At 44.4% G+C, this 27,047-nt stretch overlaps 1 protein-coding gene across 6 annotated transcripts in view, besides 1 other annotated feature; it reads left to right on the top strand.

Annotated features, from left to right (window-relative positions):
- Positions 1-27,047, top strand: part of CPXM2 (carboxypeptidase X, M14 family member 2) — a 198,466-nt gene that overhangs the window by 82,320 nt on the left and 89,099 nt on the right. For all 6 annotated transcript variants that reach the window (XM_017015673.2, NM_198148.3, XM_011539285.3 and 3 more), the window contains one exon: positions 19,297-19,436. In XM_017015673.2, coding sequence (XP_016871162.1) covers positions 19,297-19,436 — 140 coding nt within the window. The remainder of the gene's footprint in view (positions 1-19,296; positions 19,437-27,047) is intronic.
- Positions 1,608-2,108: an enhancer, noted in NCBI's record as "H3K4me1 hESC enhancer chr10:125619193-125619693 (GRCh37/hg19 assembly coordinates)". NCBI's record gives its function as "activates a minimal SCP1, AML or CMV promoter by ChIP-STARR-seq in primed H9 embryonic stem cells {active_cell/tissue: H9 hESC(primed)}" and the evidence as "EXISTENCE:reporter gene assay evidence [ECO:0000049][PMID:30033119]".

Raw genomic sequence — 27,047 nt, 5'->3', positions numbered from 1 at the left:
GTATGCAGGGCGATGCTCTTTCTGGAGACTGTAGGGAGAATCAATTTTCTTCCCCTTTTCAGTCTTGAGAAGCTGCCCCATTCCTTGCTAGTGGCTCTTTCCTTCTTCAGAGCCAGCAAAGGCAGATGGAGTCTTCATGTGACTGCCTGTCTGGTTCTCTGTTCTGATTTCTTGTTCCCCTTTTGAGGATCCTTGAGATTACACCGGGCCCACCTGGATAGCCTGGGATCATCTCCCTTCCTCAAGCAACCTTCATTCCATCTGTGACCCTCATTCCTCTCTGCTGTGTAATCTAATATATGCACAGGTTCTGCGGATTAGAGCGTGGACATCTTTGGGTAGGAGTTATTCTGCCGCCCCATCCCCAGGGCATTTTGTTCCTGCCCCACCTCCTGCTGATCTGTTCTTTCTCAACTTAGCACTTGATCTCTACCGTCCTGTGTGGCTCTCTAATGGCACCATATTCTAGTTTTCTTTCTATAGCTCTTCTGTATTGGGAGTAGTTTCCAAGCCCCTTTGCACGTGCACCATCTCTGGCCTAGGGAGGGAGGAGGTTCCTTGCCCCTGGCCCTGAGAGCCATCAAGGGTGCACTCAAAGCTAATGGCTTCCAAGTGGCAGAGTGGACCCCTGACTCCCCCAGCGGTCTGTGTAAATGTGCTAGGGGCAGCTGCTGTGCTGGGAACTGTGTACAAACAGATAAGGTTCCTTCCCAGGGAGCTCATGGGATTGGGGGCATCTGAGCCAAGCTCTGACTCCAAGCTTTGCTCTTTCTCCACCCCACCCCTCAGACTGCACCGCATCAAACAGACTTTCGAACTGCTTAACCTCCGCCACTTTTCAGTTCAGACGAATTCAGGTAGAACATTTGTAGAACTAACTTTAAGGAGATCCGAAGGTTGGTTTATAAATACTCGTATAAAAAAAGAATAATAACTAATAAGAAATATTTGGATGTGCACAACTGTCAACTGCAAACAATCTCTTATGTTTTATGAGGGATGAACACATGAGCCCGCAAAGCTTGAGCTGGAGCTATGTTCGTGTCCCCACAGTGCCTCCAGTACCCTAGACGGGGCTCCAGGCCTCTGAGGAAATGACAGTCAGATCCAAGCAGGGCGTGTGCAGCCTGTTTTGTGCATTAATTAGGGGAGCTGTCGTCTGATGCTTTGCATGATTTCTCTATAATTGAAATTATCCTTTGAAAAAGAGAAAGTGTTCACATTTATTTGTGCTTTCGGTCAAAAATTAAAAGGTCCTGTTAATCCTAAATGTGTTGGGGTTGAATGGGAAGGTCGGGGGAGCGTGGTGTTTTTGTCCCTCCAGTTGGGAATTCCACCGGCAGAGTGCCACGCAGGGTGTGCCAATGAGATGTTGTAGACAGGCATGCTGAGTGCAGACCTTGGCCTTGATGTTTCTAGATTGGGGGACTTTGGAACAAATGATCTCATGTCTCTGAGGCTCAGTTGCCTCATCAGAAAGATGAGAGTCCTAATCACTCACAGAGTTCCTTGAGTGGTGACCTTAGGTGACTTCTGATTTTAAAACATTCCCTGGATCATCTCCTTCCTCTGTTGAAAGGCTCTGGTGGCTTCTAGTTACTGTATGAGGAAAGTCCCAGGTTGGTCTTGGGTGACTGGGTCTCTCTCTGAACCTTCATTTACTTATTTCCTTGGGTTGTATCTGCCCCTTCCTTGTGAGTAAGCCCCATGTTAGATGTGGCCTTGTTTCTCCTGCTTGCCCAGCCCCTGGTGTGCAGAATAGCACCTGCAACATGGGAGGTGCACTGAGGATATGGACGGAGACCTGGCTGAGGTGCAGATGGTGTTTATTCACTGACCTACCTTTCCTGGGCTGCACAGGAGCCTCACCGTAGATGGGGCGTCCAGCAGGGAGCAGCCGGCGAGGCTGTCCTCACTTCGTCTTCCTGGCTTCAGGTAGTCTTTCACCCGTGAGAGGCCCACCCCAGGCAGAATGCCAAGCTCCCCTCAGTGAATGCATTGGCTGAGCGCACTCTCCTGCCTGTGGTCAGGGTGAAAAGGAGGCCGTGCATGGGGATCACATCAGTGCTATTTGTCTTCGTGGGTTTTTCTTTCTTCAGGGGCATCTTATTTACCCTGATGCTTTCTCACAGGAAAGTCTCCGTACCTGCTCTTAGACTGTGAAGTTGCTGCTTTAATAGCCAAATCTGGGCCCGCCATCCCCAGCCTCTGGCTCTGACCCTACTCGGGTACCTGGTGTCAACCCCAGACAGGACAGTGTCGTTTGCAATGTGTGTCTGTGGGCTTCGACATACAGCCCCAGTCCCCCACGGGGAGCACACTAGGCTAAATCGAGGTGTCAGCAGGGCTGTGCTCCTGTGCCACAGGGAAATGGGGACGAGGTCAGCCCACTTTTGTGGTTTGTGTCTTCCAGAGCCAGTGCCACATGCAGTGTGATTCCACTGTCACAGGTGCATAATTAAAGTCAGTGTGTGCCAAAAATACATCTCCCCACACAGAACGGTTTGAAATGCAGTTTAAAAATAACCACATCTTGTCTCACATACGAGTATTTTGTAGGCGTGTTGAGCTAATGGGATTTTGTGATCGAGAAACCCCAAGATGTCAGAATTAGAAACTGTGTTTAATACCCTAGTGCAGGCTGTGAGCTGGTTTAGCCTAGCGCTGTGCCGGCCTAGGACTCTATAGGCGCAGATGTGGCTGTGGTCCAGGCTGGAAGGTATGGGGCTCACAGGCTGGGATGCTGGTGCTGGTCGCTCTGCTGACCAGCCATGTGGCCTCGGGTGAGATGCCCTCATTCTCCAAGGCTCAGTGTCGTCATCAGGAAGGTGCAGGTCCCACCGCTGGCTCTTCCTCCGTCATGGAATTGTGAGTGTCAAAAGGAGTAAAGAAAAAGAATTGCCTTTGGCAGTTCTCAAATGCATATTCTTACCTATTAGCATTCATTCTTGCAGCAGACCATTGTGAGGTGCCTGCTATGTGACAGGCATGGAAAGGGCCATGACAAAAAGCCCTAGGGATTCTCTGCCTTCAAGATGCTTCAGTCTTTAGCAGAGGGAGAGTGGGAATCAGCTCCAAGCATTATTGGCACAGTGCTAAGTGCCTTATGCACGTGATTTCATTTATTCCTCCAACATGGAAGACAGTACTGTTATTATTACCTCTGCCTTATAGAAAAACAGACACAGGGAGCATGGGATGACTCAGCTCACATTTCCCAGGAGGGGCAGATTAAGAATCCAGGCAGCTTTAAACCTTGAGTTGTTGCTCCTAATGATGCCATAAAATTGCCTCCCAAGTCAACAGATAGAAGTGGTATAGGTCCAACAGCTGGACTAGTGATCAAACCGTGTACATCTCTCTTTTCTGACAGTTATCTCACATTGATTTATTCATCTGCACCCTCGCCAAATGCTGAGCCGCTTGCAGAAAATGTGTCTCTTGCATTTCTGGGTATTCCCCACCCTGTGTGAGCGCGGTGTCTGCACATATGGATGCGCTGAATCAACAAAGCTTCTGTGTAGTGGCTGCAGTGCTTAAGGGAGCTTAAGCAGGAGAAGCCTAGGAGGCGGCCGGGCAGGCTGGTCTGCTGTCACATGTGTTTTTCTAGTGCATATTTGCCCTGTGTGGTTGGCAGATACAGGGATGATGTCATTATGACACAGAAGCAGCATTGGTTCATGTGTGACTTTTGCTAGTCTGTGAATGGTCTGTGGGGCCGAGCACCAGCACCTGGCCACAGAGTGCACTGTCACGGGTGAATATGGAGTCTATCAGTGGTCTGTGGGACCAAGTATCAGCACCTGGCCACAGAGTGCACTGTCACGGGTGAGTGTAAAGTCTATGAATGGGCTGTGGGACCAAGTATCAGCACCTGACCACAGAGTGCGCTGTCACGGGTGAGTGTGGAGTCTATGAATAGTCTGTGGGACCCAGCACCAGCACCTGACCACAGAGTGCACTGTCAGGGGCGAGCGTGGAAGCTGCGGAGTCCCGTGCGTGGTGCCCTGTGCCTCCTGTTCCTCGGCGTCAGTGGGGCCTGTGCTGGTGCATTGCTCAGGTTCTTCTCCGTTTTGCCCTAGCCTTCAACTCAGCAGCTCCACGCCGCCTTCCATCTCCACGCCGCCTTCCATCTCCACGCCGCCTTCCATCTCCACGCCGCCTTCCATCTCCACGCCGCCTTCCATCTCCACGCCGCCTTCCATCTCCACGCCGCCTTCCATCTCCACGCCGCCTTCCATCGCTGGCATCACCTGCCTCCCTGCTTGTTTCCTTTTCAGATCAAATCCTATAATTACAGCTGTATTTAAACACTGTTTTGAGCAACTCAACGTGTCTCCTTAATTGTGCTAATGTGTTTTTAAAATTAATTTTTTTCAGTCTTCTGCTTCTAGACCTGTATAGATTTTGAATGGGCTGGCTGGTGAGCTGGGTTTTAGACTGGGAACTTTTACTGGAATACATTTGCCGTGTTACTACAGAAATACCTGTCTCCTTTTCCATCATTTTAAGCAGAAGACTTTGAAAGAGTCCTTATAACTCAATACTTCCTTTTTTTCAAGTAGAATTTTACTTTTGTTAACTTAATAATATAAGGTTAGAGAAAAAAACCAACATTTACATTTTATCACTACATTGGGACAAAATAGACTTTTCAGGAATTCAAGGAAGACATCCAGTTCAGCAGGAGAGCAAAAGTTCGGCCCCTCACCTATGATTATTCTTCCTGTGCGCCCAGGACCCCTTTATACTAACTCACTTGTGAGGCTGTGATCTCATTTAGAAACAGTCACTGGTTTCTTCCATTCTGGGAGCAACTACGGACAGATTGGAAATTAACATTCTGAGTCTCCAAGAGAACATATTGACAATGACCTCTAAAATCATGCTTAGGGCTAGGTGCGGTGGCTCATGCCTGTAACCCCAGCACTTTGGGAGGCCGAGGCGGGTGGATCACCTGAGGTCAGGAATTCAAGACCAGCCTGGCCAATGTGGCAAAATCCCGTCTCTACTAAACATACAAAAATTAGCCGGGCGTGGTGGCACACGCCTGTAATCCCAGCTACTTGGGAGGTTGAGGCAGGAGAATCACTTGAACCTGGGAGGCTGAGGTTGCAGTGAGCCATGATCATGCCACTGCACTCCAGCCTGGGCGAGAGGATGAGACTCTGTCTCAAAAAAAAACAAAAAAAAGCCAAACCAAACCAAAACAAAACATGCTTGGATCCTTTGCCTGTAGGTAGTCTTAGGAAGTGACCCTATGTTCAGGTGGGTCATCTAATGGCAGCTCATCACCTGCCCCACCCCAAAGAATCCTCCTTTGAGGACCCTAAGATATTTTCCCTGGGTCATAAACTAAGGAAGGGGGTTCGGGGACAGCAGCCCTGCTGAAGTGATTTATTGCACCACTGTTATTATTTTGGATATTTTCCTAGCTGGCAAGCCTCAAACAGATTGCAGTAGTAAGCACTGCCGTGTCAGAGGGCTGGCTTTCAACCTCATTCTCAAGAATTTAAATTACAGTAAGTCAGTCAGGGTCTGACGTGTGATCAGAAGAAATGAAACACCAAGTGTGTGGTTGGGACTCAGGATGTCACCACAATTCCTGCCTATAACTGGGGACCGACTTACATCCCTTATAAATGGGGATGTAGAAAAGTTGGTGCTTAGATCAGAGCTTGGAAGAAACAGCTGATGTTTTGAGGTCACAAGGAAAAACGTAGCACACTCCCTGCACAGCTCTGGGTGTCCTTGTGATAGCCTGGTCACGGTCGTTTGGCACTCTGTGGACCAGGTCTTGTCTCACCCATGTTAGAAATGACTGAGAGTTTGGTCCCCTAGAGAGAGAGGCTCACCTCTTGCAGCTCTTCCAGGAGGAAACGTCTGGCCATAATAATAGTGTCTGTCAGAGCCATTTCCCCAGCACTGCTGGAAGGAATCATGAGTCCTCTCCTCAGTCATTTCCTTAAAAAAATTATATGGAGCACCTCGATGCCAGTACTAGAATCTAGTTCCAGTGTTCTCATCCACTTTTTACCTAAAATGAGGTGGGATATTTGGAGGCGGCTGCTGCCTGTGGCTTCATTTGTACCCCCGCATGAAGACATGAATGCAGTTTTAGAACATTGAACCAACTGAGTTTTATCCTGTGTCACAGCTCATGTTCCAGGGCACGTCCTGTACGTGTCTCCCTGTACCTTTTGGCCCCAGTGCTCTTGGGGCCCCACTTTGACCAAAGGTGGAGGCCACCCACATTTCTCCTGGCAGGAAGTCTATGGAGAACCTTTGGCAGTACCATTTTCCCAGGTCTCACCTGTGCCCGACCCACACCTGCCTGTGGCTGGGCCCTGCACCCGTGTCTTTGACCCTAAGCCTATCTCTTCCTTCATGCCTTCCCGATTTTCTGTTTTGTTTGTTTTTGTTTTTCCTGGCTATGCAAAACCTTACTGTGTCTCACAAGTTCTTCTTGGGGGCCATATATGTGCTAAGTGCTGCAGAGGCAAAAATAATCACAGTAGACATAGTTTCCGAGTCAAGGAATGTCGTGTTTGTTCTGATAAAGGGATTTTGTTCTACATCTGGCTTCAAGCAAACAGTCTGGGAGACAGTGTTTGGATGCCAAAACACTGGAATTTTGGGTATTTGGATTTTTATGGGAATAACAGGACTGAATATTTTAAATTGTGACTCCCTTGGAGAAATCAAAATGAATATCTAGTATGATGGTAATATGCTGTTCTTATTTCTCAAGAAGCTTACAGTGTAGACATACAAGCCGGTAGAAGGACAATGTAACCAAAGTAAAAAGGGTCCAAAACCACCAAAGCCTCCTTGACCCATGAACCACAGATTATTAAGGAACCACAGGATTATCTGGTTCAGATATAGATTCTGTTCTGTTTGCTGTGTGCATTTTTCTTTAATATGTTATTAAATTTCATATGTTGTGTCCTTGAAGCACTAACACAGAATGACCTACACACCTGATTGCTGGGAGACGTGCACATCCAGAAGACGGTCATCCTACCTGTGTACAGTGAGGCAGGTGCCCTGGGGAACCATCCCCATGAGGTATCGCTGGAGAAGGCACAGTGCAGTTATGACTGCGGAGTAGACACACAGGCTCCGGGGGTTGTCTGTTGAACAAGCCGAGCCATCACTTGGGTGCTGGAGCTGGCAGGGAAGGAGCCCTGGGTTATCTACAGCCGGAAAACTGAGATTAGGGTCTCAGGTCTGTACTTAGTAGCTGTGGGGTTAGGGCAGGTCACTTAGCCCCTGACTTCAGTTTCCTTATCTCTAAAACAAATATATATAAAATATATATTATATATATTATATATAAAAGTATATTATATATATATTATATATTTTATATATAATATATATATAATATATATATTATATATATATTATATATATATATTTTTATATATATATATATATTTGTTCACTAGCTCTTGGGCCACCCCTGCCTCTCAGCTTGTGCTGCCTTATCTCCCTGACCACTGGCTTGAGTTTCCCCTAGGCTCTCCCACGCCCACATCCAGGAAGGGCCCAGAAAAGTCTGATCTGAGAGGCATCAGTAGTCACCCCCGGAGCCTGTGTGTGCGTTCAGCAGTCAGAGCTGCTTCTCCAGTGATGCCTCATGGGGATGGTTCCCCAGGGCACCTGCCCTGCTACACACAGGTCAGATGACCGTCTCCTGGAGGTGCATGGTTGGGAATCAGGTGTGTAGGTCATTCTGTGTTAGTGCTTCAAGGACACAATAAATGCTATATAAGCAGAAAAAGCCAGGGTGGGGAGAGGGAGGGGAGAAAAAAGGAGAGGAGGAGGGAAAGAAAGAATAACAGCAGATTCTTTCTTTCTTTCTTTCTTTTTTTGAGACTGAGCCTCGCTCTGTCGCCCAGGCTGGAGTGCAGTGGCACGATCTCTGCTCACTGCAACCTCCACCTCCCGGGTTCAAGTGATTCTTGCACCTCAGCCTCCTGAGTAGCTGGGATTACAGGCACGTGCCACCATGCCCAGCTAATTTTTGTATGTTTAGTAGAGACAGGGTTTCACCATGTTGGCCGGGCTGGTCTCGAACTCCTGACCTCAAGTGGTCTGCCCGCCTTGGCCTCCCAAAGTGTTGGGATTACAGGCATGAGCCGCCACACCTGGCCAGATTCTTTCTTTTATTTATTCATTTTATTATAACAACAACACAAAAACACAACACACCTCTGGAAACCTTTCATGTACTCAGCACTGTCATAAGAACTGAGGAAACAATGCTGAGCAAAAACAGAAGAGCCCTGAGCACTTAGCAAATATTTACTGGGGGCCTATGATGTGCTGGGTCGTGTTCTAGGTGCTGAGGATGCCTAAATGACCAAAACAAGGATTCTTGCCACCTTGAAGCTTGTGTTCTAGTGCGGGAGGCAAATCAAGGCAGATGTATTAGTCCATTCTCTCACTGCTATAAAGAAACGGCTGAGACTGGATAATTCATTAAGAAAAGAGGTTTCATTGGCTCACGGTTCTGTAGGCTGTACAGGAAACATTGTGGCTTCTGCTTCTGGGAGGCCTCAGGAAACTTACAGTCATGGCGGAAAGTGAAGGGGAGGCAGGCACTGCTTACATGCCCCTAGCAGGAGCAAAAGACTGGGGAGGTGCCACACACATTTAAACAACTAGATCTCATGAGAACTCACTCATTATCAAACACAGTTCTAAGGGGGAGATCCACCCCCATGATCTAATCACCTCCCACCAGGCCCCATCTCCAACACTGGGAATTACAATTTGACGTGAGATTTGGGCAGGGACACAGATCCAAACTACATCAGCAGGAAATGTAACAAATCATAGTGTTTACTATTATAGTATGTTAGAAGGTGGCACGTACTATGGAGAGAAGGGAAACAAAACCAGCGGACAGCTGGCAGTGGTAGTCATGGGGGCAGACTCTGGGAAGGTGGCAGCTGCTTTTCAAGAAGGGGATCAATGGGGAGCCAAGGGGGTATGAGAAGAGCATTCTGGGCAGAGGGGATGGCTTGAGCAAAGGTCAGGTATAGCATGCTCGGTATAGCCAAGGGGCAGCAGGAGGTTGGAGTGAGCATCAGGGGAGAAGACATGAGCCAGAGGTAATAGGAGGCCTGCAGGCCCCCTGGAAGGACTTCAGCTTTTAGCCGTGAGCCAATTAGGGGAGCCCTGGAAAGTTCTGGACACAGGAATGACATGCTGTGGCTTACATGTGAAACGGATCAACCTAGTCACTGTGTTGACTTTTGGGGAGCAAGCATTGAAGCAGAGGCCTGTCAAGGGCGGTGACTTCAGGCCCTAGACAGGAGATGGTACTGGCTTGAGCCAAGATAGGCGTGATGGAGGGGGGTTGGAAGTGGTTGGATTTAGGTTATTTTGAAAGTAGGATTTTCTGATGCAGGGCAGATGAGGTTTGGATGAAGGATGCAAGAGAATAGAAGGGAGTCGGGCATGCTTTTTAACCTGCAACTCTGATAATCTAGTAATCTAATGGGGAGATGAAATTACTGAAAAAAATCCCACCTGGGAATGCATAATTACAATGAGTCCTGGGAAGGAGAGGAGCAGGTGCATTCATTCCCTGGGACTGCCATGACAAAGTTGGGAGCCCAGATAGGGAAACTGAAGACAACAAACACTGATTCTCTCACAATTCTGGAGGCTTGAAATCTGAAATCAAGGTGTTAGCAGGGCATCGCTCCTTCCGAAGTCTCTAAGAAAGGGTCCCTCCTTGCCCTTTCCAGCGTCTGGTGGCCTCAGGCATTCTGTGGCATCCCTGGGCTGGTAGATGCATCACCCCAGTCTCTGCCTCCCTGGTACCTCAGGCTTCTTCCAGTGAGCCTCTACATCATCTGTCCTCTGCCTGTGTGTCTCTGTGTTCAGATATCCCCTTGTTTAAAGACACAGTCATGCTGGATATGCCCATCCTGCTCTAAGCTGACTGCATCTTAACTAAGTGCATCTGTCCCAGCCCCCTTTTTTTTTTTTTTTTTGAGATGATGTCTCGTTCTGTCACCCAGGCTGGAGTGTAGTGGCGTGATCTTGGCTCACTGCAACCTCCATCTCCCGGGTTCAAGCGATTCCCCTGCCTCAGCCTCCCGAGGAGCTGGGATTACAGGTGCGTGCCACCATGCCCGGCTAATTTTTTGTATTTTTAGTAGAGCTGGGGTTTCACTGTGTTAGCCAGAATGGTCTGGATCTCCTGATCTTGTGATCCGCCCGCCTTGGCCTCCCAAAGTGCTGGGATTACAGGCATGAGCCACCGTGCCTGGTCACCAGCCCTATTTCTAAATAAGGTCACATTCTGAGATTCCAAGAGTTAGGGCATGAGCCTATTTTGGAGAGGGGGAACACAATTCAATACTGTGGTTCTGTATGCCCAATATATCTGCCTCAGGCTGGAGCTTGGAGGACTTTCCTGAGGATGGAGTGAGTACTTGGGCTAATAAATGAAGAAGGATTATAAGTTGAGAGTTTATTGGACAAAGGGTAGGCAGAGGGAGAGAAGAGCATTCCAGGTCAAAGAGAAGAGTATGTGCAAAGGCCCTGTGGTGGTGGGGAACATGGTCTATTGGAAGGACTTAGGCAAAGCCAGTGTGACTGGAGCTACACTGTGGTTATGGAGCAATGTCATGGCCAATGGCCATGAGAAAAAGAGCTTTCCACCATTAGTCGTCAAGTAAATACAAATGAAAGCCGCAATGAGACAGGATGCACAGACACCAGAATGGCTTTGAAAAAAGGATAATATCAAGTGTGGACAAAGATGTAGGGCAATGGAAGCGTTCATAAAATGCTGGGAATGTAAAGTAGCACAGCCACTTGGAAACCTGTTTGGCAGTATAATAGTCTGTCTTTATCTGGGGGATATATTCGAAGACCCCGATGAATGCATGAAAGTGTGGATAGTACCAAATGCTCTTAGATGCTAAGCGTGGATTTCTTTTTCTTTCACCACAATTTCACAGGTAGAAAATTCATTCTTACCGTAGATCTTAGCAGCGTCAGCATACGATTTTCTTTCTTTTTAAAATTAAGTTGAGACCTTTCATCTTTTCACTTAAAGGAAGCATTTTACTTGTCTCCTGGGCATATCTGAATTACCAATATCAATACCCTTGCATTGTGGGGCCATTATTAAGTAAAAGATTACTTCAACACAAGCACCGCAATACCAGCTCTTTGATAACCAAGATGGCTGCTAAGTGACTACTGGGCGGCTAAAGTAGACAGTGTGGATCGCCAGACAAAGGGAGGATTCACATCAACGTTGGATGGTGAGAAACGGTGTGAGATTTTTGTCACCCTACCCAGAATGGCATGCAGTTTATAAATTGGTTATTTCTGGAATTTCCCATTTAATATTTTCAGACTGTGGTTGACTTCAGATAACTGAAACCATGGAAAGAGAAACCACAGATAACGGGGGACTATTGTATTTATTAAAGTTGAACATTCTCATGCACATTGACCTAACAGATTCACTCTCATTCCTAAATGGAAATGTGCTCACATGTGCACAAGAAGACATACATAGGTATGTTCATAGCAGCATTATTTATAACCCCCAAATGGAAATAGTCCAGATATATCATGTCATTTTTTATGTACTACAGTGAAATACTATATGACAGTTAAAAGGACTAAATTACTACTGCATGCAATTGTCTGGGTGAATCTCCCAGATATAATAAATATTGAGCAGAAGAAGCCAGACAAAAAGAGTAGTTACAGTAGGTTTCATTTATATAAAGTTTGAAAATAAGAAAACCAACCTGAGGAGATAGAAGTCAGAGTGGTGGTTATGTCTGCGGGAAGTTAATGTCTGGGAAGGGGCACAGGGAGCTTCTGACATGGTGCTCATGGTCTACATCTTGGTCTGGATGTGGTTATGTGGGTACATGCAGTTTGTCAAAATTGGTTGAGCTGCACACTTAGGATTTGCACACTTTTCTGTATCTATTATAAAATTAATGAAAACTTTACAAAGAAGCTGCTCAACTAAAGAAGAGAGGTATATTTGATTTAGCCTTTTAAAAGTGAATGTAAGGCCGGGCACGGTGGCTCACACCTGTAATCCCAGCACTTTGGGAGGTTGAAGCAGGCGGATCACCTGAGGTCAGGAGATCGAGACCAGCCTGACCAACATGGTAAACCTTGTCTGTACTAAAAATACAAAAATTAGCCAGATGTGGTGGCAGGTGCCTGTAATCCCAGCTAATGAATCCAGGAGGCAGAGGTTGCAGTGAGCTGAGATTGTGCCATTGCACTCCAGCCTGGGCAACAAGAGCGAAACTCCATCTCAAAAAAAAAAAAAAAAAAAAGAGTGAACGTTAAGAATATAATAAATGAAATTAGGTGATAAAGGGGATAAAGGGGAAGGAGGAGAGGCAGCAGGAAGTAGAAATAATGATTTCATCACTGCCTATAGTAGGGAGTTAATGGGTACTTTCTAAGAAAATACAGAATTAAGTATGTTACGTAAGACTTAGTTACTAAATCAACCACTAAAACAAAGGTACAGCTCATTAGCATTTTCAGAGGTATGCACTTAAAGCAAAAAACACAAAAAACACAAAACCGATCAATAGATAAAAATAAAACAAAGCCACAGGAAGCAATAAAAATAGAATATCTAAGAAACACGGATGATTCATTCAGACAAAGAACATCTGTCAATGGGCTAAATGGACCTAACTTACTATTAATAGAACAAAACTGAAATTGTACCATAAAGCAAATTTAATCACAGGTCACAGCAGGCACATACTAAACATAAAGGGAATCATACTTGTACCCCCAGTGGCTTCCATGTATTGACTGTCTTTTCTGTGCCAGGCACCATACAAAATACTTGTAACTGTGACAATGGTATTATCACATATTTTATTTCTATCCTCATTTTATAGATCAACTGACCTAACTGGGGGTATTTAAATAATGAGCTGTAGAATGAGGACTTGCACTTGACCTGCATGCATTTCTGAAGGCGATTCTGAGCTGTGCTGCCTTCTTGGAGTGCATAGGAGGATACACACAATCTTTATTGGGTCACTCATAAATGAATTAATAATTGCTTAAGAATTAAACTTGTTCCATAGATATACAATGTTAATGGCTAAAGCATTTCCCAGATTGGAGTTAAATTGAATTAGAATGTTGATGTGAAAACATTTGCCTGTTTCTTTTTCAGTTAGTATATTTCTTCATCTTTTCTTCTTTTAAATAGTTAATAAATGGTTTATGGTGTGTTGAATAGAATTTATTTTTAAATATTTTTAATTTTAAACCGTGGATGTTTACTAGTTTCCTTGGCCAATGCAAGGAAATAGTTAAGAAATTGGTTTTGGTTTTAAAAGTTGCTTCAAAAACAATGAATACAGTGTTTTTGTACAGCCTACTTTACCGATGATTAAGGTTGGAATTGGGACAAGGTGCATTGCCAATTTGCAGAAGGATCAGCAGATTGCACCTGGAAAGTTTTATGGGTTTATAGCAGTGGTTTATTACAGAGGTTTATTGAAGGCAGACATTCAGACCACATGATGGCCATTTTATGGCAGATTACTTACTTTACTAATCAAATGTCACAGCTAACGTTTTTTAGATAACCTCCCCCTGAAAAGGCATTAACTTGCTGATAATCTATAGTTTCAGCTATTGCTTCTAAATTTTTTTCTCAAAAATATTTTAAAATAACTATCACTTTATCCTGTTTCTCTCCAAATAGCCCTGGGATACGTCTGCAGAGAGGCAGCTGTAAGTCAATTATCCTGGAGTCACTAAATAGTTACATTCACTTGGATATGACTTTTTATTTGCTTCCAGATGTTTCTGTGTAGAGGCAGCCCATGATTATGAAATATGTACAGTGCAGATCAGTGACTCACTGCCGCAGAATGATTTTGATATTCACTGTTGTCTCTATCTCTCAGAAATCAAAGCCCTTTGCATAATACCTAGCACGTAGTCAATGCTCTGTAGATACCTGAAAAATGAAAGAATCAACAGTAGACATTGTATCAGTCACCCTCTATATCTATGTATCCCTTTCCTTTTACTTTTTAAAATTGCTTTTTAAAACTTGTTTTAATCAATTTTATAACAAACAAACACACTTCACATTCCACCCGGCCCCTGACTACCATCAAGCACTGTGGATGGCACAGCTACTGGAAACTCTTTTTAATTGTCTCTTTGGGAATTGAAATCTTCAATTCTTTTTCTTTTTTTTTTGAGACAGAGTCTCGCCCTGTTGCCCAGGCTAGAGTGCAGTGGTGCCATCTCGGCTCACTGCAACCTCCGCCTCTCAGGTTCAAGCAATTCTCCTGCCTCAGCCTCCTGAGTGGCTGAGATTACAGGCCTGTACCACCACACTCGGCAAATGTTCTATATTTTTGGTAGAGACAAGGTTTCACCGTGTTGGCCAGGCTAGTCTAGAACTCCTGACTTCAAGTGATCCACCCACCTTGGCCTCCCAAAGTGCTGGGATTACAGGCGTGAGCCACCGCACCTGGCCTGAAATCTTCACTTCTAAATAATATGCACATATTGATCTGTATCAATTTATAGATGTAGACTTGATGTTTTAGATCCCTATTCTGGAAGATGAGGCTATCACCCATTTTTATCACCCCTTTCCTCTCTTCCATCTTTCCAATAAAATTGTAGCTCAATTTTTGGGTAAATCTGTATCTAAGGTTTTCATTATTATGACTGAAAATTTTGCTTCCTACTTACTGAGCCAAGAAATACTTTAATTTTGAGTCAGGAAATATTTACTTCATATCATTTCTTAACAACCTTTTGTTTTCCTGGGCCTGCTTGTATTTTTAAGAACATATTCTCCCCACACCCTGCAATAGGTCTGGATCTGAAAAAACAAACAAACAAAAAAAACCTTCAATATCATTTTTTATGCAGCCACATCTGTTCAGTGGTTTTTAGTCCTGCTTTGTGTTTTACGTTTCTGTTAGATACTCTTTCAGAAGCCATTTCACCTGCTGCATTCTGAATGGGCTACTCTCTGGGTCTCCTACATGTCTACTGTCTTGGGTCTTCTTCACCATCATTCTGATAATTCTCTGCTATGTTGGAACCCTTGATTTCTGGGTCTGATATATTCCTCTCTGTAGTGTTCTGCCTCATTTTTTTGGAGTGCATCCTCTAGTACAGGGTCCCCAAGTCCCCCGTCCACAGACCAGTACCAATCTATGGCCGGTTAGGAACGGGGCTTTCACAGCAAGAAGTGAGTGGCAGGCCAGAGAGCAAAGCTTCACCTGTTTTTACAGCCACTCCCCATTGCTCAAATTACGGCCTGAACTCCACCTCCTGTAAGATCAGCAGTGGTATTAGATGCTCAAAGGAGCGCAAACCCTACTGTGAACTGTGCATATAGGGGATCTGGGTTGTGCGCTCCTTATGAGAATCTAATGCCTGATGATCTGTCACTGTCTCCCATCACCTCCAGATGAAAATGTCTAGTTGCAGGAAAACGAGCTCAGGCTACCATTGATTCTACGTTATGGTAAGTTGTGTAATTTTATTTCATTATATATTACAATTTAATAATAATAGAAATAAAGTGCACAATACATATAATATGCTTAAATTATCCCAAAACCATCCCCCACCCCCAGATGGTGGAAAAACCAGTCCCTGGTGCCAGAAAGTTTGGGGACTGCTGCTTCAGTAGCTTCATGGAAATGGTGTATGAAAAATAGATTTTTTGAGAGTCTGTGAATCTGAAAATGTCTTTATTTTGCCATCATGATTGATAGTTTGGCTGAGTGTAAAAATTCTAGGATGAAAAATCTTTCCCTTTTGAACTTTGAAAGCACCATCCCTCCATTCTTCTAGCTTCAGATGCTGCTATTGAGAATTCTGATGTCATTCTTATTCCTCTTTCTTTCTTTGTGTGTGTTCCTTTTACTGCTTGTTTCCTCTTTGGAAACTTTTAGAATCTTTTCTTTATTTCTGATGTTTTGAAGTTTCAAAATGATATTCCATGGTGTGTATATTAGTTTATTATGTGTACTAGATTCTTACATGTTTTGAAGACTTAACTGGGAAAGTACAGTTTTTATTTGGTCGTTTTTTTCCCCCTAAAATTCTTCTGGATTTCTTCCTCTGCTTTTCTTATTTTTCTCCTGTTGTCTATTTTTGTGTACTGTTTTCCTTTTGTGAGATTTCTTCAACTTTATCTTTTTAGCCTTTTTGTTTTAAAAATAGAAAGCCTTTCTATTTTAAAAGTTGCTGACATTTTAAAAATTTCAACTTTCACATTTTAATTTCCAAGAGCTCTTTATTGTTCAGTGCTTTTTCCTTTTTTAGAGTATTCTGTTCTTGTTTCATGAAATCAAGACCTTTCTAGAAATATTAATTATAGATTTTTAAAGCCTTTTTTCTGTTCTCTATTATAGTTTGCATTTTTTTTTTCTGTTTGTTATAAACCTGACTGCATGGTGTTCTATAGCTGGTTGGGGGAAGGAGCTGGAACATGTCACTCTTTAGTGTGCTGATGCCCCCAGAGGTTACTGTTTTCATCCATCACGGCACCCCTGCCTCCTCTGTGCCTAGTATCCCCAATCCAGGGTCTCTACAGTTTGCTTTCTTTTCAGAGAAAAATTTCAGGTCCTCTGTGGAGTGGGGGTGGAGATATGGGGGAATTAATTGTATTTTTTTTTTTTTTTTTTGAGACTGAGTCTTGCTCTGTCACCCAGGCTAGAGTGCAGTGGTGCAATCTTGGCTCACTGCAGCCTCTGCCCCCCGGTTCAAGTGATTCTCCTGCCTCAGCCTCCTGAGTAGCTAGGGTTACAGACGTGAGCCACTGTGCCCAGTCTAGTTGTTTTTTTAATACACATTTTGAAGCAATTGCCTGTTGAGTCCTGCCTTACCCTCACCTCCCAAAGGTATCTTGAAACCCAGGTTCTCAGCTTTTCTAAGGTTCTGTGTGGCTTGCTTCTTATTGTGCTGTTTTGACGTTTGCACTTCCTTCTCTTGCTGAGTCATTCAGGATTCCTCCATCTGATTCTGTCTTCATATATTGTAATTTAGGGCTTTCATATGTCTTTTGGTTTTATCAGAGATCAAAGTTGTATTTCTGTGTCTTGCTTTCTTTGCTTGGGGTTGACTTTTGAGAGAAGAACACAGAAAAACTAATGTGTTTATCCCATCATCTTGAAACAGAAAAATCCTCTTAGATTGACCTTAGACAGTATCAGGTTTTCTCTTTGTGTTGGATTTGATAATTCCCACATTTATCTTAAGCAAAATTGAGTCTGTTAGGGGCATTGGTGTGCTTTCTTTAAGGTAAAAAAAAATGCATATAATTTAATTTCCTTTATAAAATTACATTAATTCTCAGTTTTTTTTTGGTATTGTAGTAGATTCATTCTACGTTAGTGACGTTTTCAAGACTAGTGTACCCTTTAAAGAATCAAACCTTTTGGTTCACCAACTTTTAGTTGAAATTTCTCCAAAATTTATCAGCGATTTCCCTACATTATTAAAGAGAAAGAGATGAATGCATTCTTCTCGTGGTTTCTCGGAGGCATCATCTGAATATCATTTATTGCACGATGGTATAATTTTGTAACATCTCTGGGGCTGGTACCTCCTCTTTCACTGAATTCTCCCAGGCACTTGCTTTTTAAATTCATAATCGATTTTGCAGAGGTGGCTGTCACTTCCCAATGAGTCATCTTTGGGAAGAGCTCTCCATTCCCCTGACACTGTGCTACATTTAATTGACTGTCCAGTGTGCTCAGAAAGAACTGAGATTGGCAGCAGAAACAAAATATTCAGGCTGGCAAAACCAGGAGCCTTAAATTTAATTTCAAATCCTGTTCAGTAGTCTTTGATGGACAGTTCCTTCCAGTTTCCATGATTCTATAGGGTACATGTCTCAGGCTATGTGGCAGTTCTATTCTTCTCTGCTAAGCCTCAGATGTCTAACACTGTACTGTGGTTTTGTCCTGATAGAACGCTTATGTTAGCTGGTACAGTGATGGATAGAGTTTTGCTCAGCAGAACCTTTGGCCAAGTTGTTCACGCCTATAGCTGGACTCTTAGTTTCACATTTCCATTGCCAATTAAAAGTAAGGCTGTCCCCAGAATTTGAGTTGAAATGCTCAGAGATAGGGAAGATGGGCTGGCTGATCATTTTTATCATTCAGACTTTTTTTTTTTAATCTGATCATAAGAAATAGCTTTGCAGGAGAATGGTGTGAACCCGGGAGGCGGAGCTTGCAGTGAGCTGAGATGGCGCCACTGCACTCCAGCCTGGGCAACAGAGCGAGACTCCGTCTCAAAAAAAAAAAAAAAAAAATAGCTCTGTGAAATAGCCATGGAAAAATAGGGTTAATAAACGAGGATGCTTCACTTGGTTCAAATGTCCTTTTTGGGAGGCGAGGAGTCAGGGAATTATCTCTTCACATGGTGATAATATAGAGAAAATTCCAGAGCAAAAACTTTACCTATCTTGGAAATTCAGATCAAAAGAATTTTGGAGCAGGGCATGGTGGTGTGTGCTTGTAGTCCCAGCTATTCAGAGGGCCGAGGAGGGAGGGTCATTTAAACCCAGGAGTCTGAGGCCAGCCTGGGCAACATACCAAGACTCCATCTCTGAAAAAAAAAAAAAGAATTTTTGGTAGTAATAGCAGCTGATACTGAACACATCAAATGACTTAAACACTAACAAACAAATGTTCACTGGATAAACTTACCCTTCAACACCTACTTCAAGTATCCCCTGGTCTTGGGGCTTTCTGTCTATGATCAGCCCCACACTAAGTTAGTGATTCTGTCCTTAAATGCTCCCGCAGCGGTTTGCTCATATTCCTGAAATAGCACCGGCCCCACTGTGTTCTAATTCATCTATTTTCACATCTTTCTTCCTGCCTAGATGGCGAGGTTCTGGGAGGGAACGATTCACCTTTGCGTCCCCAGCACCTGGTGTGCGTGGGCTGCTGTGTGGGAGATGGTTTATGTGTGCTAGATGAATGAGTAGTAGGAGTACTCATTAAATTTCATCTTTCACACTGGGCAAAAAGAGGACATGGTATATTGAAATATTTTCAACTTGTGGATACTAAGCAACTCCCTTTTATGATTTAGGATGAGGAGTTCAGGGCACAATTATTTTTTTCTTTAACACCTTCCTCATTTTCTTCTCCTATCCTCCCTCCCTTCCTCTCAGCCTCAGGAAAAGATATGTCTTAATTTTCTTCAATTAAGAGTCTTTTTGAAGAACACCGCTTTCTTTCTTTCTAGGCGGGCATTAATGAAAATGATTTTTATGACGGAGCGTGGTGCGCGGGAAGAAATGACCTCCAGCAGTGGATTGAAGTGGATGCTCGGCGCCTGACCAGATTCACTGGTGTCATCACTCAAGGGAGGAACTCCCTCTGGCTGTGAGTGTACCTGGACATATGCTTTCTGGACCCTGTTTTGGGTCTAGCTTTTGAGGGTCTGGACAGACACAGGTCTGGAAGTTGCAGAGAGGTGTTTGGTGATGGGCAGTAGAAGAGGAGAAAATTGGAATATGAACAGGAGGCTGGGCTCGTTGTCGACACATTCTCCTGGGGGGGATGGTGCGTTTCAGAACGACACCCTCCCCCTGTACAGGAGTGGAGAGAAAGATCTGCCTGTCAGGTAGAGCAGAGTAGACACAGACTCAGTGAAATCCAGGCGGTTTAGGCAGCTCTGGGACGAGATATTAGTGTCTTGACTGGTGGCCAGGGCACAGCCCAAGGCAGGACCTCTGGACAAACAGTGAGTACACAGTTCTGGGGTAGAGGGCATGGATTGTCCAGATCCTGGAAAGAAGGACTGGAAATCTAGGTTCCTAAATGGAGGATCACGAGAGAAGTAGTGAAAGTCAAGGATGACAGAGCTTGAGGCCTGAGAATGAGAAGGGGTCTCATTTCTCAGAATTTCACTCAGGGCCAAGGCTGGGACAGTGACAAGTGTGATCTGATGGTAATCACAGGAGAGATGGGCTGCAGCCCCTGAAAACCCTCCGTCTTATGACATATGCATACAGTGAAACATATTATTCAGCCTTAAAGAGGAAGGCATGCTGCCACATGCTACACATGGGTACAGCTTGGGGACATTCTGCTGAGTGCAATACACCAGTCACAAAAGACAAACACTGCATGATTCCACTTCCATGATGACCTAGAGCAGTCAGATGTACAGAGGCAGAAATTAGAATGGTGTTGCCAGGGCTAGGAGGAAGGGGGAATTGGGAGTTAATGTTGAAGAGGTACAGAGGTTCAGTATAGCTTGATGAAAAGTTCTGGAGATAGATGGTTGCAAATCAATGTGAATGAACTTAATACCACAAAACTGTACAGTTCAAGATGGTTACAATGATAAATTTTATGTTATGTTTATTTTACAACAAGCAAGCAAAAATACATGAACAAAATCACCCTGTCGACCGCGGCGGCTCAGGGCTGGTTGTGGAGACGGAGGTAGAGCTGCATCCCTGAGGGATGTTGTGTGGCTCCAGCCATGTGGACGGTGGTCACGCAGAGCTTGGGGGCTTTGTGGAGGGGCGCAGTAGGGTCAGCAGGACCTCAGGTGCTTTCTGAACTTATACAAGAAATCTTCAAATTCTTCTAACATCTGCCGACATTGAGAAGCCAAGATCACAAATGCCCCACGCGTGAACATTAGGAAACTGTGATCTTTGTGAGCTCAGATCCCTCCCGTCTGCAGTCCTCCCCAACCCTCCCATCTATACTGCACTCTCAAAGCTCATGTCTTGGCATCTTTCAATATTTACTGATTACTTGTTGGCAATCAAATAAAATCAGAGTTTAATTTGCTGACTAGATTAATTTTAATTTCTGGAAGGTCGACATTAATAAATAAAGTGGGATAAGTGAGATGGACCTGGCATCTGTGCTTACATTTAACCACCTGTCATTGTCCCTGCAAAGGGGACTTTCTTATACAGTGACAATTGTCAGGCAGTGACTCATCATCTATTTTACTCTGAATTTTTTTTTTACTGTAAAGACAATATTATAACATCCAGCAAAATTTTAAAACATTATGCATGATTCCGTGGTCCTTATGCGAACAGATTTTTCCCCCCATATTGCAATAATGTTACATATCCGGTTATTTTATTTTTAACTTAAAGACATACCAGTAACATTTTTCATGCTGTTACTCAGGCTTTGTAATGATTATTTTTAATGGCCTGTAATTTACTCAGCCACACCTCCACCACTGTCCCAATTTTCTATTATCATATATCATATTGTGAGAAAACATTTTCATACTTTTTCTTCATTTGAATTCTTTTCTTTGAATACATTTTCAGAGCTCAAATAATTTGTGCATTTTGACAACAGTTGATTATGCATTTATGCCATTTTGTGTATCACATTTTATTTGCCTTGCTTTTCAGTCACTTTTGTGTATGTACATGCTGATTTTTGCTCTGTGGTATGCATTTTGCTTTTAGCAGTAGCTTATTACCACGACAATTGTTTTCCCTGTTGATATTCTGAAAGGCAAGAATTTAAGGGGGCAGTTGGGTTGCTCAAGAAAAAATGGAAACTTAAAACAAAAGACTGGTTTGAGATTATCCATGGGGATTTTTGCCTTAATGCTTGCATGTTAAGCTGTCTGGCCACTGTCCTTAGAGACCCAGTAGTCGGGTTATTATTGTATTAGAAAATAAGTGAAAGGTAGGTATAAAGCTCACATTCCATTTCAGCTAGAAACACAAGAAGGGTTGGGGTAAGCAAGGAATTGCAGTGGAACAGTATCTTTCCTCAGCTCAGACAGTATGGGAACATCTCAGAGGGAAGGCAAGGGATAGAATTACTTTAAGAGTTACTTTTAAAAAATGTATTTCAAGCCAAATTATTCTCCAGGAACAATGAAAAGAAACCTGATGAGTTTTGGTTTGTCTTATCTCTGGGAATAGTACTGTCTCCAACGAGGACTGAAGAGGAAATGGGATGAGGATACATCTTGGTATCTGAGCCTTTTTCTATCTCAGTATGTCCAGAAAACGTCAAAAATGAGTATCATTAAATACTAACAGTAAAGAAGGCAGTAGTCATCTCCCTTTCTCTCTTGCCATGACCTGTCCCCACACTGCTCCCAGTACAGATGGCTATGGTATCATTTTTTTATATTTCTGTTGTTTGGTTTTCATATTTCTTCCCACTAGTCTGTGATTCCCTTGATGGCAGATCCATGTCTTGGCACTCATTATTCCCGGGACCTTACCCAGGACCAGGCACCTATTAGATGCACGAGAAATAACTCTTTAATGAACGGGTATCAATATGAAGTAAAGAGTTGACAAAGACTCATTCACATGGAATGATAATGAGTTAATTGATCTATAATGATACATGAATGAGCATTTATTTATATTATACATGTAAGGGGGGAATGTGGAGGGGTTTGGGAAGAGAAGATTGAGAAGCCACAGGTGTCTGGAGCTGGATGGCTCAGGGCTTTAGGCCCTTGCTGGTTCTGAGATTTCTCTTCTGTGACCCTCAGTTTCCTGTTCTCTAAAAATGGGATAACTACTCTCGATCTCATAAAGACGTGGTGAGGGTAAAATGAAATTATGAGGTTTTAAATGACCCAGCACATAATAAGTGCAGAGTAAGTGGTGGCTCTTCCTGCCACACGTCTTTGGGTTTATCTGTAACTGTGGTTTTCAAGCTTTATTTTTAGGTATAGATTCTTCTCTCAAATAAAATCTTTCTTGGAAATATTTAGAAAATATAGACAGAGAAAGCTGCTTTGCATGAGTCTGAGGATTTGGGGACAGTCGCCTGCCTGGTCCTCCCCTCTTCTCCCTCACAGGAACACCCCTGGAGGACAAATTGGTAGAAGTATCTGTGTGTAAGAGCCCAGTAAACAGCTTGAGGGTGGTCTGCGCAGGTTACTATCCTGCACGCTTCCCTGGTGCCTGTTGCCGCTTCCCAGGTTCTGCAGGGTCGCAGGCAGAAGTGGAATTCACACCAAGACAAGCCATGGCAGAGTTGGAATTAGAGTTTGAGTTTTCTAGTTAAGCGTGCAGAGCGTACCCTAGTCTCACAGCGTGTTGCATTTTGGTTAGTGATGTTTTAGAAACGGAAAGGGAGGAACTTGCCAGCCCGGTAGATTTTTCCAAATGGATGTTGCTGTTCAGAGTGGTTTCTAGCTGGCTATCGAAATACAGAAACACTTGATTAGCAGTTGGAGTTATAATAAACACTTAAGAAATGTACTTTTCCTTTATAGGACATTTATAGTTGGATTTTATTTTATTTTACTTTTTAGATGGAGTCTCGCTCTGTCACCCAGGCTGGAGTGCAGAGGAGTGATATCGACTCACTGCAACCTCCACCTCCCAGGTTCAAGTGATACTCAGCTTCTTGAGTAGCTGGGATTACAGGCACCTATCACTGTGCCCAGCTAATTTTTGTATTTTTAGTCGACACAGGGTTTCACCATGTTGGCCAGGTGGTCTTGAACTCCTAACCTCAGGTAATCCTCCCGCCTCGGCCTCCCAAAGTGCTGGGATTGCAGGCATGAGCCATCGTGCCTTGCCCTGTAGTTGGAATTTTAAAATGAACATGCATAATCTTATTTGTTTCTGATGCTCTCTGGATGTCTACTAATTCATTCCTATGATGTTATCAAGCACTCTACAATAAGCACTAGGGATATAAAAGTGAGCAAGAAATGGCCCTGCCTGCAGGGAGCTTTCAGTCTAGTGGAAGAGTCCAATACCTTCATGGGTCTACTAGACTCAGCAAGGCGCATGCCATGGTAAATGGGCACAGGGGAGCTGCTGTGAGACCTGGGAGACAAATGGGAGAGATGAAGCAGCGAAATCACGAGGCTCAGCCACCGCAGTCCTGACACAAGCTCATAACCAAGTTGATGATAAGTTCTACAACCGCAGTTTTATTAGTTTTCCAAATAATTCATGCTATTTGAAAGTAATACGATAACTTATACAAATATAAATTATCCAATATCATTAAAAATATAAATTATTTAATATCATTAAAACAACCAGATTGTTTTAATGATATTGAATAATTTATACTTCTCACAATTATGAAATATCCTTCCCTACTGCATTATAATTTTGTGCAATGTTAGTATACTAATGAAAAGCAGTCTTTTATTTCCCTAATGACAGAAAGTATATTAGATATATGAGTGCTAACCATTATAACCAATGTGATGATTGAAAAGTTAATTATTCTGCTTGAGGTGAATAGATGCTTCTAATGATTTGGACTAAATACAGGCAGTTTGAAGTAACCAAATCTTTTCAATTTTAACTCTTTAATCGACAAAATGATTCTCTGTATATCTTGAAGTCAGTGCATTTGTCTTTTAAGTGGGGCAGCGATTTGATGAATGAGTTTGTGAGGTGAGGGCTGAGGAAGGTTAGCTGGTTGGCTGACTTTATAAGAAGGAGGTAGGCTAATGAGAGGAAGATGGATGGAACTTCTGCTGTGAGCCAGGCTCTGTGCCTGAGAGCACAAGGACGGGGAGGCTCAGCCCTGAGCCCTGAGACGCTCGCTTTCTGGTTGGCAATGGAAAGTCTTAGCAGGAGTTCCACGTTCAGCTTTTCTTTGGAGAATTCTGATGGTGAAGGAAAGGAGTGGGTAAGATGCCAACGTCAGAAGGAAGACCAGGACAAGAAAGGTGAATTTCTCTCTTTGCTTCTTGGGAATCTGGCTGTTTCTCCGCTGGGCGGAAGATCCAGGTGGAGGGAAAGTTAGTGGGGGGTGGCTGATGGGGCAGGTCCCTGAGGGGCTGACTCTGGGACAGGGGCTCACCTGGAAAGGAGGAGGGTCTCCTTTACCCTGAGACCTCACCTGGGGGGAAGATCCAGGTGAAGGGAAAATTGGTGGGGGGTGGCTAATGGGGCAGGTCCCTGAGGGGCTGAAACTGGGGCAGGGGCTCACCTGAAAAGGAGGAAGTTCTCCTATACCCTGATATAGTTAAGGTGGGGAGCAGTGCTCAGGGCTGTTCCAAGCCTTCACCCCAGAGGGTTTCACATTCTTGGTGAAGTAGGAGGTGGAGTCCTCTGCAGACAGGGGATGTGACAGGATTCGGGTCTGGAAACTCAGAGAGTGTAAGATCTGCATTGAGATAAGGGACAGAGAGCATCTTTCTCCAGTTGCAGAGAGGGCTCTGTGGGTGTTGGAGATGTGGAATTGTCACTGTTCTTTTGGGCACGCTTGGTGGTATGTTCACCAGGGGCAGTGGAGTTGGTGGCAGTTGCAGCTGGAGGAGATCAGGAACAAGGGCGTTGTGGCACTGGTGGCACAAACTGTGTCAGGAGTGAGGGACTGTGAGACTCAAGGCTGGTGGGGCAGGAATTCAAGCTAGAGGGCTGATTACCTGGAGGTGCAGGGCAGGTTCAGGAGCCGCTGTGGGAGATGAGGCTTCAGAAGTGATGGAGGATTGGCAGGGGAAGACAGTGGCCCTATTTGAGGACCCCACAGGGCAGTGGAGTTGATGACTGGGGTCAGGGTTCAAGGGGCTGAGATGGAGCCAAGGGGAGGTTCCAAAGGAGCAGATTTCTGGGAATCTTGAGGCTTGAGGACTGGCTACTCAGCACCATCCCCGTTGCGGGGATCTCCAGGGTACACTGGACCCTGCAAGGGTCGGGAGAGGAGATGAGGAGGCAGCTGAAGTGACAGTGGGGTCTAGCAGAAGCGGAAAGGAAGGTGAGAAGGGCAGAGGCAAATACAGAAGCAGCTGGAGGACCTTGGTCCAGGGCGTCGGGGAGCCCGAGCCTCCCCAAACACCTCCTTTGGCTGAGTTTCCCATTTTCACAGTAGGAAGCATTCAGCAAGTCCACCCTTTCTCTTCCACTGGATCCAGCTTTTTGCTCCCCTGAGGCATCGTCCCGGCCTCTGTGTCCCCTTGTTCCTCCCAAGGGACCTGGGCCCACATGGCAGCAGCCTGCCATAGTGCAGAGAGAAGGCGTGGGGCCAGGCCAGGAGCTCAGAAGCAGAATGCAAAGTGAGGCCAGCACTTTATAAATCATTCACCCATCTTCTCAGGAGAGAGGGTGTGTGTGTTTTCAGAATGTGTCATGCTGTGTCTCCTCGCTTAAGGGTGAAATGAAATGTTTGGCACCTATGTGGGGCTGGGGAGAGAGAAGTTTCCAAACTCCTTTCTAACCTCTTTGAAAACTGTCAGTTTCTGAACCATAGTGTTTAGCATGAAATAGAAGCGTTTTAATGAAAACATCTCTAAGTTCAAGTAGAATGCCAGGCATGCAGTCATTTCTGCATTTTATGTTAAGTTTCAGCAATGCAGGGATAGTTATTTGAAATTAAATAAAGCTTTCACAAGGGGCTCGTTCTTGGCTTTCTGGGTGTTGATGATGAAGGCATGAGCTCTCAGACGGGGAAATCTCTGAAATGGAAACAATTTTAGAGTTTTTTCTAGGTTGGAAGCTTCCACCCCGCTTTATTTGAGGGTCCTTGTTCCCCAGGTGTGACTCCCCAGGAAACCCCCCAGATGGTTGCTGGGCACACTCTGCCTTTGCTTCCCGCCTGTTTTTTCATGGGGAGGCCCCCTTGCTGTGGGCCTCCTTCCCTGATTAGCTCACTAACTCCCCCACCCCTTGACCCATGTCTTAGTCCATTGGTGTTGCTATAGAGGAATATCTGAGGCTGGATAATTTATAAAGAAAAGAGGTTTATTTGGTGCATGATTCAGCAGTTGTGCAAGAAGCATGGTGCCTGCATCTGCATCTGGTGAAAGCCTCAGGCTGCTCCCACTCAAGTCGGAAGGTGAAGGGGAGCTTGTGTGTGCAGAGATCACATGGGGAGAGGGGAGGCAAGAGAGAGGGGAAAGGTGCCAGGCTTCTTTTAACAACCAGCTGTCATGGAAGCTTGGGGAAACTAATAGAGCAAGAAGTCACTCAGCACCCCCTGCACCCCCACCAAGGAGGGCATTACTCTATTCACGAAGGATCTGTCCCTATGACCCAGACACCTCCCATTAAGCTG

Source organism: Homo sapiens, chromosome 10 (assembly GCF_000001405.40).
Source record: "Homo sapiens chromosome 10, GRCh38.p14 Primary Assembly".
Classification (NCBI taxonomy): Eukaryota; Metazoa; Chordata; class Mammalia; order Primates; family Hominidae; genus Homo; species Homo sapiens.
This window is presented reverse-complemented; position numbering and strand designations above follow the sequence as displayed.